This window comes from Homo sapiens, chromosome 12 (assembly GCF_000001405.40).
Source record: "Homo sapiens chromosome 12, GRCh38.p14 Primary Assembly".
NCBI lineage: Eukaryota > Metazoa > Chordata > Mammalia > Primates > Hominidae > Homo > Homo sapiens.
This window is the reverse complement of record NC_000012.12, coordinates 47,337,216-47,352,554: the sequence shown is the minus strand read 5'-3', so window position 1 is coordinate 47,352,554 and position 15,339 is coordinate 47,337,216. Positions and strand designations below refer to the sequence as shown.

The 15,339-nt window shown below is 39.3% G+C and overlaps 1 non-coding gene and 1 pseudogene across 1 annotated transcript; both read left to right on the top strand.

Annotated features, from left to right (window-relative positions):
• The first annotated feature begins 6,257 nt into the window (after nt 1-6,257).
• LOC124900322 (small nucleolar RNA SNORA64/SNORA10 family) lies at nt 6,258-6,389 on the top strand. Its single transcript, XR_007063625.1, has one exon. It is a non-coding gene; the product is annotated as a small nucleolar RNA SNORA64/SNORA10 family (small nucleolar RNA).
• PPIAP45 (peptidylprolyl isomerase A pseudogene 45) lies at nt 10,466-10,941 on the top strand (annotated as a pseudogene).

Sequence of the window (15,339 nt, the reverse complement as noted above, 5' to 3'; positions counted from 1 at the left end):
AATATTTTCTTTGTATTTATTTTTTAAACAAGTAACTTTGAACTTACTTCACTTCCTTCCTTCCTTCTTTCCCTCCTTCCTTTCTTCCTTCCTTCCTTCCTTCCTTCCCTCTTTCTTTCTTTTCCTTTCCTTTCCCTTCTTTCTTCAAATAGCATCTGGACTGGATCTAAACTAAACTCACAGCACATTTATTTTGAGTGTCTGCTTTGAGGATCAGTGAGACTCAAGTGAAGTCTTCCCCATATGTAGACATGTTACTACTTTGAGTTACTCTCAGTTATACAGTTAATACTCTGAGAGTAACTGTCAATCAACCTAAGCAGTACAATCTGTCAGCAGGCTAGCAGGCTAAGAGCGGTCTGTCAGTTACTTTTTACTAACTTTGTAGTTCTTCATCCATAGTCATCTTTACGATTTCACTGGAAATAATAAAAATACATTCATTCATCCACTCAATAAGAAAACATTTACTGAGCACCTACTTTGTATTAGGTGCCATGAAGGCCTTAGAGATGTGGGATTTGATGGTTAATTGTTTGTGTCAACTTGACTGGATCCGGATGCCAGGTATTTAGCTAAACATTACTTTGGGGTGTGTCTGTGAGGGTGTTTCCAGATGAGATTAGAATTTGAATTCATGGGTTCAATAAAGCAGATTGTCCTCTATGGTTGTTAGATGTTTCAAAGAATCATATTTCTGACTGGTATTGAATCAGATGAGCACAGATGTCCCTTTTCTACTGATATTCTATTTGTCTCTGAGTCAAAGGATAATTACAGAATCCTACATTTTGCTTTGGTTGTGTAGACCGACCCAGACTTTGGATAACAGATGGGAAAACAGACTTTGAAACTAAAAGCCCAAGAATTATTGCGCCTATTTTTATCAGGTGGTTTTGTATAATCCTCAGATTGTAAAAAAATACCCTAAAGAAAGTTGTTTGTAGAATAAAATTTATCACAGTGAGTATTGTCACAGTGAAATATTTTAATAACAAATATATTGCCAAACAAATGATGAGCCACTATTATGAACACAGTCTTAGCCTGGCTTCTGCTCTATAACAGAATACCTGAGACTAGGTAATTTATTAAAAAACAAAAACAAAAATTTATTTCTTATACATGCTGAGCATCCCAAATCTAAAAATCCAAAATCCAAAATGCTCCAAAATCTGAAACTTTTGAACGCTGACAAGAAATACTCACTGGAGCATTTCAAGTTTCAGATTTGAGATGCTCCACCAGTCAGTATAATGCAAACACTAGCAAGATTCTAGAATGGATGACTGAGTGATTATTTATGTGTATTTACATAGGTGGGAGACAGCCATTAGTAGCCCTCTAGGGCCTACTAATTTGTTGTGTTCCATACCTCTGGAAACCTGATTATTGCAAGGGTCAGATCTTAGCAGCTGAGAAAAGAGCCAATGTGGGATATCTTGAGAATAAATGTCTGAGAAACCTGTCCCAAATCAGAATGGATATTTTAGGCTGGCATATAGCCCCCTATTCCTTTAAAGTTCATGCATATACTTCACTTCCCTGATGGAAAAGGCTATAAATCTGGAAGGATCACAGATATCTCATTTAATTTGCTGAAGACACTTAGGACTCAGAATGGTGCAGATTGCTGTGTCTGGGGTTGCATAGCTGACGGGTTGCGGAACTGGGACTGCAATTCAGATCTTTCAGCCTGCCATCAGGTGAGGGCTTTTCTAAGCATCACTGCCCCAAAGGATGGAATGAATGCCTTCCATGGCTGTGGATCATCTGGGCAGGGGTAATTATTGCCTCTCTTCTCAGGATGGAGGATTGACAGACAATCATCCAAACACTCATTCTCTGGCCACTGTGTGACCAATGGCAAGCATCTGTGAAGCACTGAAAGGCTGGGGAAAGAGGGTAAGGGAGTTAGGGCTCTAAGTAGCGTCGGCGACACCAGAGCTGTGCCAGAGCCTTCTGGTGTCCTTTATCTTCATATTCTCTTTCCAGTTCAAGCTACAAACTGTGTCTTGAAACTGTTGTTTCAGTATAAGGCACGGTATCTTAAATTTGTTAAAGTTTGCCTGAATAAATTTAAGCATGACTACTTTTAAGCATCTAGTTCACCTCTAAGAAAATCCAACTAAATCAAAAAGAAATCTGAAAAGAAAAATAACTAAGCCCACTTCACTGGCATTCACTAAATCACCACTTGTAAAGTGTCTGGCTCTCACTATGCATTTTACATGCATTGTTTAAAATCCTGACCACAATCTTATGACATAGAGATTACTTTTATTTTAAGGATAAGGAAATTGAGGCTCAGAGGGTTATCATACACTAGCAGGAAGTGGAACTTCTGAGAGTTGAACTCTCATGTTCCTCCCACTCTGATACATACTCTCTATTCACCCAACAAATATGTGTTAATTTTTTTTTTTGGAAGCATCATAGAAATTGTACCTCAAGTACTTGGAAAGACATTTGTTAAAGAAATAGAAACTTAGAGTCTGAGATCAGCCTGGCCAACATGGTGAAACCCCATCTCTACTAAAAATACAAAAATCAGCCTGGCATGGTGGTGCACGCAATCCCACCTACTCAGGAGGCTGAGGCAGGATAATCGCTTGAACCTGGGAGGCAGAGATTACAGTGAGCTGAGATCGTGCCACTGCACACCACCCTGGGCCTGGGCCACAGAGCTAGACTCTGTCTCAAAAAAAAAAAAAAGGAACTCATTTTTAAAGGCAGGCCAATACCATGTTCTATAAAATAAAATAGGTTTATAGATGCTTAAAGGGAAGTACTACTTCTGAAAAAAACAATGTGGTTTCCAGAGAAAGGTTATTTAGCCATTGATGAGGTTCTGGGACTTTATTAACCTTAATAAATGTAAGTTTGACTTTTAAAATTAAGCAAGAATAATGCAAAACTGAGGACAACTCCTGGCCCAGAGTAGAGTGTTGCCCATGGCTGGTGGATACATCATTGTAATGACACTGAGCATTCAGAAGGGCTAGTGAATATTTCAGTCTGAAGTTAACAGGAAATCAACTGTAAGGCTAATTTGTTACTGTACTAGGACACTATTTTACTGAATATAAATTACCTCTTTGGGTAGATATTTCTAGGAAAGAGATTACATTTCTCCTTGCCACATTTCTCTGCAAAGTGTTCCAAGTAACTGTCTACAGCAGAGGTTGGCAACCCTTCTGTAGCATAAATGTAGCCTGAGACAATATGTGAAAGAAAGAGAGTGGCTGTGTTCCAATAAAACTTTATTTAGAAAATGACAGAGGTGGGGAAAGGGGGCTGTAGTTTGCCCATCCCCGAACTACAGTATTAGTAAGCATTGGGTAATAAATGTCACTTCTACTTAAATGTCCAAGAGACCTGCAAAGCAAAGAATCCAAGTGCGTGTATTATTTTTTTAAAATCTCATTATGGATATTAGAGCATTCAAAGCCAACATAGAAAGTTACATTTCTTTAATGTGACTATTACCACCCTTGTTTTAAATGATTTGGATGAAACCTTTGGTGTTAACTTACCAGTTTTATTTTTTAGTAGCTCTGTATAAACCTAAAAAAGAATTGCCTTGAACAGTTTGGGCTGCTATAATAGAATACCACAGGCTGTGTGGCTTCAACAACAAACATGTATTTCTCGCAGCTCTGGAAGCTGGTGAATTGCCCTCTTCTTGGTTTGTAGAAGACTGTCTTTTTGTGTATTCTTACATAGTCCAGAGAGATCATCTCTCTTACTTATCTTCTTATAAGGGCACTAATCCCACTCATGAGGGCTCCCCTCTTATGACCTAATCACCTCCCAATGTCCCACCTCCTAATGTCATCACAGAGGGGGCTATAATTTCGACATATGAACTTGGCAGGGACACATTCAGCCTATAACAAGAATCTAGATGCCAGTGGTTGAAAGAGGCTAGGATGACCTTCCAGGTGTCTGCAATCATACAACTGATAGCAGTGCTACATCAGTATGTGGTTAATAGGTGATAAGCATCTTTCCAACTTATATATTATGCCATCTCTGACACTCTTATCGTTTTGCAGATTAGTGGCAGGCTAATTTCATTTGAATGAGTTATTGGAATTTTCTATGGCCAAAGTATATGGTAACTCTTATAAAATATTTCTTATGACTAAGCAATATTTCATGAAGGTTCCTGTTTGTTTTTGTTTGTTTGTTTTGGGGCATGTGTGTGTGTGTGTGACCACTGAATGGAATTATTTTTTAGTTAGCCCATAATAATATATTCAATAATGTTTAGTGAAGTTAATAAATTGAGTCAATTACAACTTCCTTCCCTAGAGATTCTTTTCAGGGTTGTGTTTCTTATTAAAAGTGATGACCAGGGCTGGGCATGGTGGCTCACACCTGTAATCCCAGCACTTTGGAAGGCCGAGGTAGGTGGATCACCTGAGGTCAGGAGTTTGAGACCAGCCTGGCCAACAGGGTGAACCCTCATCTCTACTAAAAATACAAAAATTAGCTGGGCATGGTGGTGGGCTCCTGTAATCCCAGCTACTTGGGAGGCTGAGGCAGGAGAATCACTTGAACCCAGAGGCAGAGGCTGTGGTGAGCCGAGATCATGCCATTGCACTCCAGCCTAGGTGACAGAGTGAAACTCCGTCTCAAAAAGAAAAAAAAAAAAAAATATGACCAAGCCTGGTGTCTCATGCCTGTAATCCTAGCACTTTAGGAGGCCAAGGTGGGAGGATCACTTAGGACCAGGAGTTTGAGACCTGCCTGGGCAACATGGTAAAACCCTGTCTCTACAAAAAAATACAAAATTTAGGTGGGTGTGGTAGCAAACAACTGTAGTCCCAGCTACTTGGGAGGCTGAGGTAAGAGAATCACTTGAACCTGGGAGATGGAGGCTGCAGTGAGCCATGATCACACCACTGTACTCCAGCCTGGGCAATAGAGTGAGACCCTGTCTCAAAAAAAAAGAAAAATTAGCTGGACTAGAGTATCACTTGGTCCCAGGAGTTCAAGGTTACAGTGAGCTATGAGCACACCACTGCACTCTAATCTGGCTGACAGAGTGAGAACCTGTCTCCAATAACTAATAATAATAATAATTTTAAAATATAAAATGACACATAGTTTACATATTTTTCTTAAGTTGTGATGGAGAACCTTCATAATAATATGAAAAATCCAATATATTATTCCTTAGGGTCTTAGTTATTAATCTCATTATGATGTCATAACAGATGTTGGCACTCAGCTCTAGGTAGAGAGAAGAGGTGGCATTGACAATTTAAAAATGATTTTAAAATCAGTCATTTTCTAATTCTATTTAGTAGTAACAGTAGCACTGTAGTAATTGCTGCAGTAGTAGCAGTTAACATTTACTGAGTTCTAACACATAAAAAACTGTACTAAACACTACACATATATATCATTTAATCCCCAAAATAGCTAATGTTGGAGGTATAATTTTACAGATGAGGAAATGAAATGGCAAGAGGTTACAAAATGTATCCAAAGTTAGAGGACTCAAACCAAATCAGTCTGATAGCAAAGTCACTGCTTTTAACTACAATGTCAGTGATCTCAAAGTGTGGTCCCCAGACCAGCAGCATCAACATCACCTGAGAATGTGTTAGGAATGCAGATTCTCAACCCTCATCCCCATCAGCTGAATCAGCAACTCTGGAGGTGGGGACACATTTGTCACATTCTCTCTAGGTAATTCCAAAGTCCACTGACATTTGACAACCTCTGTACTATGCTAAGCTGCATTTAGAAGAAGTACCAAACACTGAGTAAACATTAGTTGTGCAATTAAGCAAATGCGATAACAGGAGAGAACTACCCAGCACAGCACAGAGCTCACAGTGAGCAGTAGCTTATAATAGTTTATTTCTGTTATATTAATACCCACCACATCTGTCTATTGTGAAGTTAGATTATTAAAAACTGTTCCTGAACTGCTATCTGCATTCTAAGTTGGGAGGGGAGAAGCCCAGCACACTGTACTTAGAAAGAAATTATCCTTCCGGGCCAACGAAGATCTTGAGCAATTGTTTTTTAGCTAAAAAACTAATTCCACATTTTGTATTCATCAAAATGCCCATTGCTTTATCTGGATTTGAGGGTAGGAGAAATCCACATATTTGACAACATTCCTTTGAATGAAACTAAGAAGTAATGTTGGTAGTGGTGGCCTGAGTGATACATGTGATTGTGGCAGAGATTAATGGTGACCAAAGAAACTTAACAAGTTTTAAAATTATAAAATAGGCCTCTCAGTGCCGCTTAATCACACAGGTCCAGTGTGTGCTTGGTGTCTTTTCTGGGAGGCAGAGGAAGGCTCTCCTAATCACAACAGACCTGCCCAGAAGGGCCTCTCTATTTCTAGGAGTATGATAGCTTTTGGGGGGAAAAAAAAGAAAATAATGGATGCTGCCGGGTGCGGTGGCTAATGCCTGTAATCCCAGCACTTTGGGAGGCTGAGGTGGGCAGATCACGAGGTCAGGAGTTCAAGATCACCATGGCCAACATGGTGAAACCCCGTCTCTACTAAAAATACAAAAATGATTTAGGTGTGGTGGTGGGCGCCTGTAATCCCAGCTACTCAGGAGGCTGAGGCAGGAGAATCGCAATTATCATGTATCAATAAAAATTTTATTAAACTATCATTCATAGCATCCATTCTTTTCTTTCTTTTTTTTTTTTTGAGACAGAGTCTTGCTCTTGTTGCCCAAGCTAGAGTGCAATGGCACAATCTGGGCTCACTGCAACCTCCGCCTCCTGGGTTCAAGTGATTGATAAATGATAATTGTACATATGTATGGGATACGTGTGATATGTATTAAACATGCATACAATGTGTAATGATCAAATCAGGGTAATTGGGAGATTTGTCACTTCAAACATTTTTTTATTTTTTATGTTGGGAACATTCCAAATATTCTCTTTTAGCTATTTTGAAATATACAACAAATTATTGTTAATTATAGTCACCCTACTATGCTATGGAACACTAGAACTTATTCCTTCTAATTGTATTTTTGCACCTTTAACCAGCCTCTCTTTATTTCCCATCCCCAACCTTTCCCAGCCTCTAGTAATTATTATTCTACTCTCTACATCCATGAGCTCAATATTTTTAGCTACCACATATGAGTGAGAACATGCAATATTTCCACTTCTTCTACCCATTATTCTGGGCCTGGTTTATTTCACTTAACATAATATCTTCCAGTTCCATCTATGTTAATGCAAATGACAGAACTTCATTCTTTTGTGGCTGAATAGTATTCCATTGTGTATATGTATACAATTTTTTTTAATCCATTCATTGAGGGACACTTAGGCTGATTCGATATTGTGACTTTTGGGATTGCTGAATTGTATGGCACATCTATCTTTAGTTTTTAGAGGAAGGTCGATACTGTTTTCCACAGTGGCTGTACCAGTTTCCACTCCCCCCGGTAGTGGACTAGTGTTCTCCTTTCTCTGCATCCTAACCAGCATTTGTTGTTGTTTTTTTTGATAATAGCCTATTTTAATGGATGCTATCAATAATATAATTTAGTAGGATAGTTTTAGTGATACCTTTTTGAATTTATATTTTCATAACTTGTGAAATGTCCCTCACACCTCATCTTTTGGCCTCTTCTCTATCTCTAAGATTTTGCAAAACCTTGCACACATGCATGACTCGGAATGCCAGGCATAATGGAAAGTTGCCACACAAGAAAAGAAAGAAAAACTCGGCTAGGCGTGGTGACTCAGGCCTGTAAATCCCAGCACTTTGGGAGGCTGAGGTGGGCAGATCACGAGGTCAGGATATCGAGACCATCCTGGCTAACATGGTGAAACCCCGTCTCTACTAAAAATACAAAAAACTAGCTGGGTGTGGTGGCACGTGCCTGTAGTCCCAGCTACTCGGGAGGCTGAGGCAGGAGAATCGCTTGAACTTGGGAGGCGGAGGTTGCAGTGAGCCAAGATTGCACCACTGCACTCCAGCCTGGGCAACAGAGTGAAACTCCATCTCAAAAAAAAAGAAAAAAAGAAAAACTCATTTCTGTTGAACACTTTTTAACATGAAAAAAAGGTAACTTTTTTTGGTAAGTGATTCTAGTGGTGGTGTATGGAAGACAGGAGGGTGGTCAGTATCAGAAGAGATCACATTCAGCTCAAAGAGTTCAAGAGAAGATAGAGTTGGAAAACATGCTGTTCTACCTTTATGCTACACAATTTTAAACTAAAGGACCTCAAAATGGGTTATTGTTCACATTTTCCATAATTCTCTTAGTGAGACTTGCATTTGTGGTCATCAACAGTGAATCGCAGTAATTACCTTGGAGAGAGTTATTGGAAACAGGCCACACAGTAGAAGATCCAGTGACATGTGTAATGATGTAACCAGCATTAAATAAATGGACCTAGGGAACTGAAGAGACAAGCAGGTCTGTATGGTTCCAATATAAACAGGTTCCCAAGAGTCATGACATTGTGAGTCATGATGGTACCGCTAACTTTTTTTTTGCAGGGAGGCAGTATAATATATAATTGGTAAGATTAAATCTTTTAAGTGTACAACTTTATGAATTTGGACAAATGCATACAGTCATATAACTGCCACCACAATTAAGATTTTCAATGTACATCTTAAACTAATCACAGTCTAGATTCAAGGAGTATTCTACCTCTTCACTGTGTGGTGCCCCAACTGGTGTACTAGGGTTATGGCTGTCATACATTTTGCTTTTACATATGCTACACACCCACAAAACTACTGTACTTTCCCTGTACTCACTCTTTTCCCTGTTTTCACTACTACTATTTTTAAAATTTAGCTAATCAATTATCTTTTACAGCTATTAAAAGTCAGAAAAAGTCTTTTACGTTTATCTTCATTTTAACCATTTCTGGAATCTTCATTTCTTTGTGTAGATCCAACTTTCTCTCTGGTATGTAGAACTTAAGCCTGAAAAACTTCCTCTAATATTTCTTATAGTCCGCTTCTGGGTAATGAATTCTCTGCTTTTGTGTGAAAAGTCTTAATTTCTCCTTCATTTTTGAAAGATATTCACACTGCGTATAGAATTGTGGAGAGTTATTATTTTTCCCTTCTCTCAGCAGTTTAAACATGCCAATTTGTCTCCAGACTTGCATGGTTTCTGAAGCCTGCCATAATTCATTTTTTTCATTTTTTTATTATTATACTTTAAGTTCTAGGGTACACGTGCACAATATGCAGGTTTGTTACATATGTATACATCTGCCATGTTGGTGTGCTGCACCCATTAACTTGTCATTTACATTAGGTATATCTCCTAATGCTATCCCTCCCCCAACCCCCCACCCCATGGCAGGCACCGGTGTGTGATGTTCCCCATCCTGTGTCCAACTGTTCTCATTGTTCAATTCCCACCTATGAGTGAGAACATGTAGTGTTTGGTTTTCTGTCCTTGTGACAGTTTGCTCAGAATGATGGTTTCCAGCTTCATCCATGTCCCTATAAAGGACATGAACTCATCCTTTTTTATGGCTGCATAGTATTCCATGGTGTATATGTGCCACATTTTCTTAATCCAGTCTATCATTGATGGACATTTGGGTTGGTTCCAAGTCTTTGCTATTGTGAATAGTGCCACAATAAACATACGTGTGCATGTGTCTTTATAGCAGCATGATTTATAATCCTTTGGGTATATACCCAGTAATGAGATGGCTGGGTCAAATGGTATTTCTAGTTCTAGATCCTTGAGGAATCACCACACTGTCTTCCACAATGGTTGAACTAGTTTACAGTCCCACCAACAGTATAAAAGGGTTCCTATTTCTCCACATCCTCTCCAGCACCTGTTGTTTCCTGACCTTTTAATGATTGCCATTCTAACTGGTGTGAGATGGTATCTCATTGTGGTTTTGATTTGCATTTCTCTGATGGCCAGAGTGAACGGGCAACCTACAGAATGGGAGAAAGTTTTTGCAATCTACCCATCTGACAAAGTGCTAATATCCAGGATCTACAAAGAACTTAAACAAATTAACAAGAAAAAATCAAACAACCCCATCAAAAAGTGGGCGAAGGATATGAACAGACACTTCTCAAAAGAAAACATTTATGCAGCCAACAGACACATGAAAAAAGGTACCGCTATCTTTTTGTCATGGTGGGAAATGTGAAATTATCCAGGAATGGCATCTGTGACAATAAAGAAGATGAAAAGATGATTCCTAGACCAAAATAGGAAGAGATGATGTCTGGATATTTGCCCTGATTTGACAATAAATAAATATGTAAGCATCTCTTCTACTCCTTTCTACCCATTATTCTGAATTTTTATTGATAAATCACTATACTTTCCAGAGCCCACACAATTTGTAAAGCATTTTCAATAAAACTGTTTAGTTAGGCAAGGCTTCTTAAAATGTATACATATATTTTCCTTGCTTTGCAGATGGATGCCTCCCAGAGCCACCTGCACCCGTCATGGTCAATCCCACTGTGTTCTTTGATGCCATCATCAACTTGGGCTGTGTCTTCTTTGAGCTGTTTGCAGACAAAGTTCCACAGACAGCAGAAAATTTTGTACTTGAGAGCTGGCGAGAGAGGATTTTGTTATATGGGTTCTTACTTTTACAGAATTATTCCAGGCCTTACGTGCTAGGGTGGTGACTTCATGCCATTATGGCGTTGGTGACAAGCTTATCTACAGAGAGAAATTTGATGATGAGAATCTCATCCTGAAGCATACAGGTCCTGGCGTGATGTTCATGGTAAATGCAGGACTCAGCACAAACAATTCCCAGTTTTTCATCTGCACGGCCAAGACTGAGTGGTTACATAGCAAGCCTGTTGTCTTTGGGAAGATAAAAGAGGGCATGAATATTGTGGAAACCATGGAGCACTTTGGATCCAGGAATGGCAAGACCAGCAAGAATATCACCATTGCCAATTGTGGGAAATGCTAGTAAATTTGACTTGTTTTATCTTAACCACCAGACCATTTTTTCTGTAGCTCAGGAAAGCACCCTTCCACCCCATTTACTTGCAATATCCTATAATCTTTGTGCTCTCACTGCAGTTCTTTGGGTTCTATATTTTTCCTATCCCCTTCACATCTAGCTGGATTGCACAGTTAAGTTTATTAATTATGAAATAAAAATTAAATAACAATAAACAATTTTCCAGGGGCCCTATATATCCCACATAGTAGCAGCTCTGCTTGGCTGTGACCCTATGTTTGAGAGTTAACAAGTATTAATTGATGCACTACATACGGTAGTATCATGTTCTGTCAAATGCTGTTATTCCAGCCCCAAAAAACTGTATAAGGCAAACCTTGCCTTAAGAGCCATGGTCTTGCTGGTAATACAGAACTTACCCATATGAAACATATCAGGAGATACATAAAATTAGATATTATATGGTGCCTAATCAATTAGATGTAACTTTAAACATGGTAGACATGGTTAATGCTCAGGATTGAGGGAGGGTCAAGCTCAGTCTGGGCTGGTGTCTCAAGGAAAGCTTGGTGGCACTTGATGTAGCCCTGAGGCACATGCTGAACTTGGACAGGCTCAGAAGTGTGCAGAAAGCTGGCAGGGTGTAGGGGGCAACAGTAGGAATATCTTAGGGAGGAAGCCTCTCTATTGAGAGTCAGACTTGGGGGCATTCTGAACTAAAGAAGGTGCAGCCTCTGCTGTTTCTTGGAACTAGGCTCTTGAGCTATTAACAGCAGAAAAACCACCCTGCGGGGAGAAGTGGCAAGCTATCAGGACACCCTTCACTACCCTGTGAATAGGAGACACTGACGGAATGCATTTTGGGGCGGAAATCTCTCACTGGAAATAATCTTGGTGATTTCTTTAACGTCAGTATCTCGACTCAGACTTAGCCCAACAACTACATTCTTGCCACACTCTCTCCATCTTCTTCAGGTCGTCTTTCTGTCGTGCTGTCTTAGGAACAATTTCTGTTCTTGCCTGTTTGCCATCTAAGCCCTCACCTCATTCTCTAAGCATGAATACCAATTTTCACCTTGCACTTTTGCCAAACCTCAGCTCAGTGTTGACTTGAAGCCAGAAGAACTGTGACTGAGGCTGAATTTGCCACTTATTTTCTCTATAACCTTGGGCAGGGCACTGTGTGCCTCAGAACTTCTATTTCTCTGTTTGTAAATGAAGATAATGATGCCTTGCGACTTACTTCATGGGGGTATTTTGAGGAGAAAATAAACTACTTTAGTTTAAAATAATAATACCTAATAATAATGATAATAATAATAATATCTAATACTTAAATAGAACTTATTCTATGTCAGGCAATCTTCTAAGTGCTTTAGATATATTAATTATTTTAATTCTCACCATAACCCTGTGAAGAAGAAATTATTATCACCATTTACAATGAGAAAGTTTAGGCATAGAGAAATTAAGTAAAAATAACACAATTGTTAAGTGTAAGAGCTGAGATTTAAACCTTGGCAGTCCGGTTCCAGAATCTGTTCCCTCAACAACCACATTATATTGTTTATCTAATAATAAGAAGAACTAACACTTGTGTAAGGCTTACTACATGCCAGATACTATTCCAATGGTCCAATTAACTTACTTAACTGTCACAATAGTCCTTTGAGGTATCTGTGAGGAAGATGCTGTTATTACCTGTATTAAAATGCTCTGTGAAGACTTCCACATGTAGGAAGGCAGAATAGATGTACTTTCCTTATTCCTCCTACTAAGTACAAAAGAAAACCCTGTCCAGCATACATAAATCAAACACAGGGAAACTCTAAAAGGTGAGATAAGAAGGTAGACTGACTAGGGACCTCAGAATCGAAGAAACAATATGTTGGTAAGCTCCCTGGTTTTTTGTTTTCCCCTCATACAACTCAGACTTGGAGTTGAAGAAGGTAGCAACCTGAAAATGCCAATGGGTGTAAACAAACAAAGAAACAAACAAAAAAGCCCCAACAAAAACTTGCTCTCTCTAGCCAAAAGAAAGGACCAGGCTGGGCCGGACAGCTCAACACCTATAATCCCAGCACTTTGGAGGGCCATGGCAGGAGGATTGCTTGAGGCCAGGGATTCAAGACTAGCCTGGACAACACAGCAAGACCCTGTCTAGAGAGAGAGAGAGAGAGAGAGAGAGAGAGAGAGAGAAAGGACCAGGAAAGGAACACCCTAGCAAGACAAAAGACCTTCGAGATAATAGCTGCTCTACACTAGACAAACACCACAGAAAAATCCCTGGTCCCATTCCCACCTATGCCAGCAAAGGCTGAATGAGGAGCCTAGACTTCCACCTTTGCGCAGCTTTAAAAAGGGGCCCAAACTTCCTTATCAGCATGGTATCAGAAAAGGCTGAGTAGAGAGCCTAGACTTTTATTGCATGGAGGTAATGAAGCCTCTCTCATGTAGTGTTGGGGAGATCAGCTGCGGAGCTGGATTCCCATCCTCATCTAATAGTAATAAGGCACCCTTCTCCATCCCCACTGGGATGGAGTCAGAGGAGGCCTAGTGTGGAGAGTCAGGAGTTTCACCACCACCCAATCATAATGAGGTCCTTCTACATCTCCACCATAGTAACAACGGGAGTATATAAGGAGCTGCGGGTACATAAGGAGCAGCACTCTGGTAAGGGTACATAGTGAGGCACCCCTATGCTACCAGCCAGGGAGATCTCAATGGAGGCCTAATGAGGAAACAGAATTCTCACCTATACCCAATGGCAAAGAGGATACACTTATTTCTTTACCCCTCATAAAACTCAGACTTGGAGCTGAAGAAGGTAGCAACCTGAAAATGCCAATGGGTGTAAACAAACAAACAAACAAACAAACAAAAAAGCCCCAACAAAAACTTGCTCTCTCTAGCCAAAAGAAAGGACCTCAGCAGCCACCAAAGTTATTTGGCAAATCTGGATAACCTCACTTGGCAGTAATGAGGTAGTCCCCTTTCCTTCCCCTGCCAGAATAGTGTCAGAGGAAGCCAAAAAAAATGAAGGTTAAATAAGCTCCAGAGTCTTATAGTACCCCCAAATGTCCAGATTTCAATAAAAAAACACTTATCAAGAACAAGGAAGATCTCAAAATAAATTTTTAAAAAGACAATCAATAGACACCAGCAGAGAGATGACAAGGATACTGGAATTATCTGACAAAGATTTTAAAGTACTCATAAAAATGCATCAGCAAACAATTATGAACACACTTGAAACAAATGAAAAGACAGCATCAGTAAAATAAATAAATAAATAAATAAAAAATAAAGAACATTTCAGGAAAGAAAGAAAAGACATAAAAAGGAATCAAATGAAAATTTTAGAACTGAGAAATACAGTAACCAAAACTTTAAAACTCTCTGGTTGGGCCCAATGACAGAATAGATGAAGCAGGGAAAATATTAAGTAAACTGAAGTTAAAAAAATAGAAATTATCCAATCCTAAAAAGAAAGAGAAAATAAACAAATAAACACAGTCTCAGGGACCTGTGAAACTATAACAAAAGATCTCATATTCATGTGATGAGAAAAGACCCTGAAGGAGAGGAGAGGAGAAAGAAGGCAAGGCTGAAAGCATACTCGAAGAAATATTGGCAAAAAGTTCTACAAATTTGACAAAAGATATAAACCTATAGATTCAGTAAGTTAAACAAATTCCAAAAAGGTTAACCTAAAGAAATCCACAACAAGACATACACAAAGTCAAACTTCTGAAGACTAAAAACAACAACAACAAAATACCTTGGAAACAGTAAAAGAGAAATGACATCTTACCTATTAAGTGGAAAATTCAAATGACAGGTGATTTTTCTTCTGAAACCATGGAGGCCAGAAGGAAGTGGCATATTCTTCAGCTACTGAAAGAAAACAACTATTCTCAAGTCCTATAACCAGCAAAAACATCCCTCAGAAATGAAGAAGAAATCAATATATTCTCAGATGAAAAAAGATGAAAAGAATTTGTTGCCAGAAGACCTAAAAAAATACCTGATGTTCCCGAAGCAGAAAGCAAATAATAAAAGAAGAAATCTTGGAATATCAGGAAGAAGGAAAGAACATGGAAAGCAAAAATGTGGGTAAACACAGTAAACTTCCCTTCTCCTCTTGAATTTTCTAACTTATATTTGATGCTGGAAACAAAAATTAAATATTGGCTGGGTGCAGTGGCTCAAACCTGTAATCCCAGCACTTTAGGAGGCCAAGGTGGGTGGATCACTTGAGGTCAGGAGTTTGAGACCAGCTTGGCCAACATGGTGAGACCCCATCTCTACTAAAAACACAAAAATTAGCCAGGCATGCTGGTGCATGCCTGTAATCCCTGCTACTCGTGCGGCTGAGGTTGGAGAATCACTTAAACC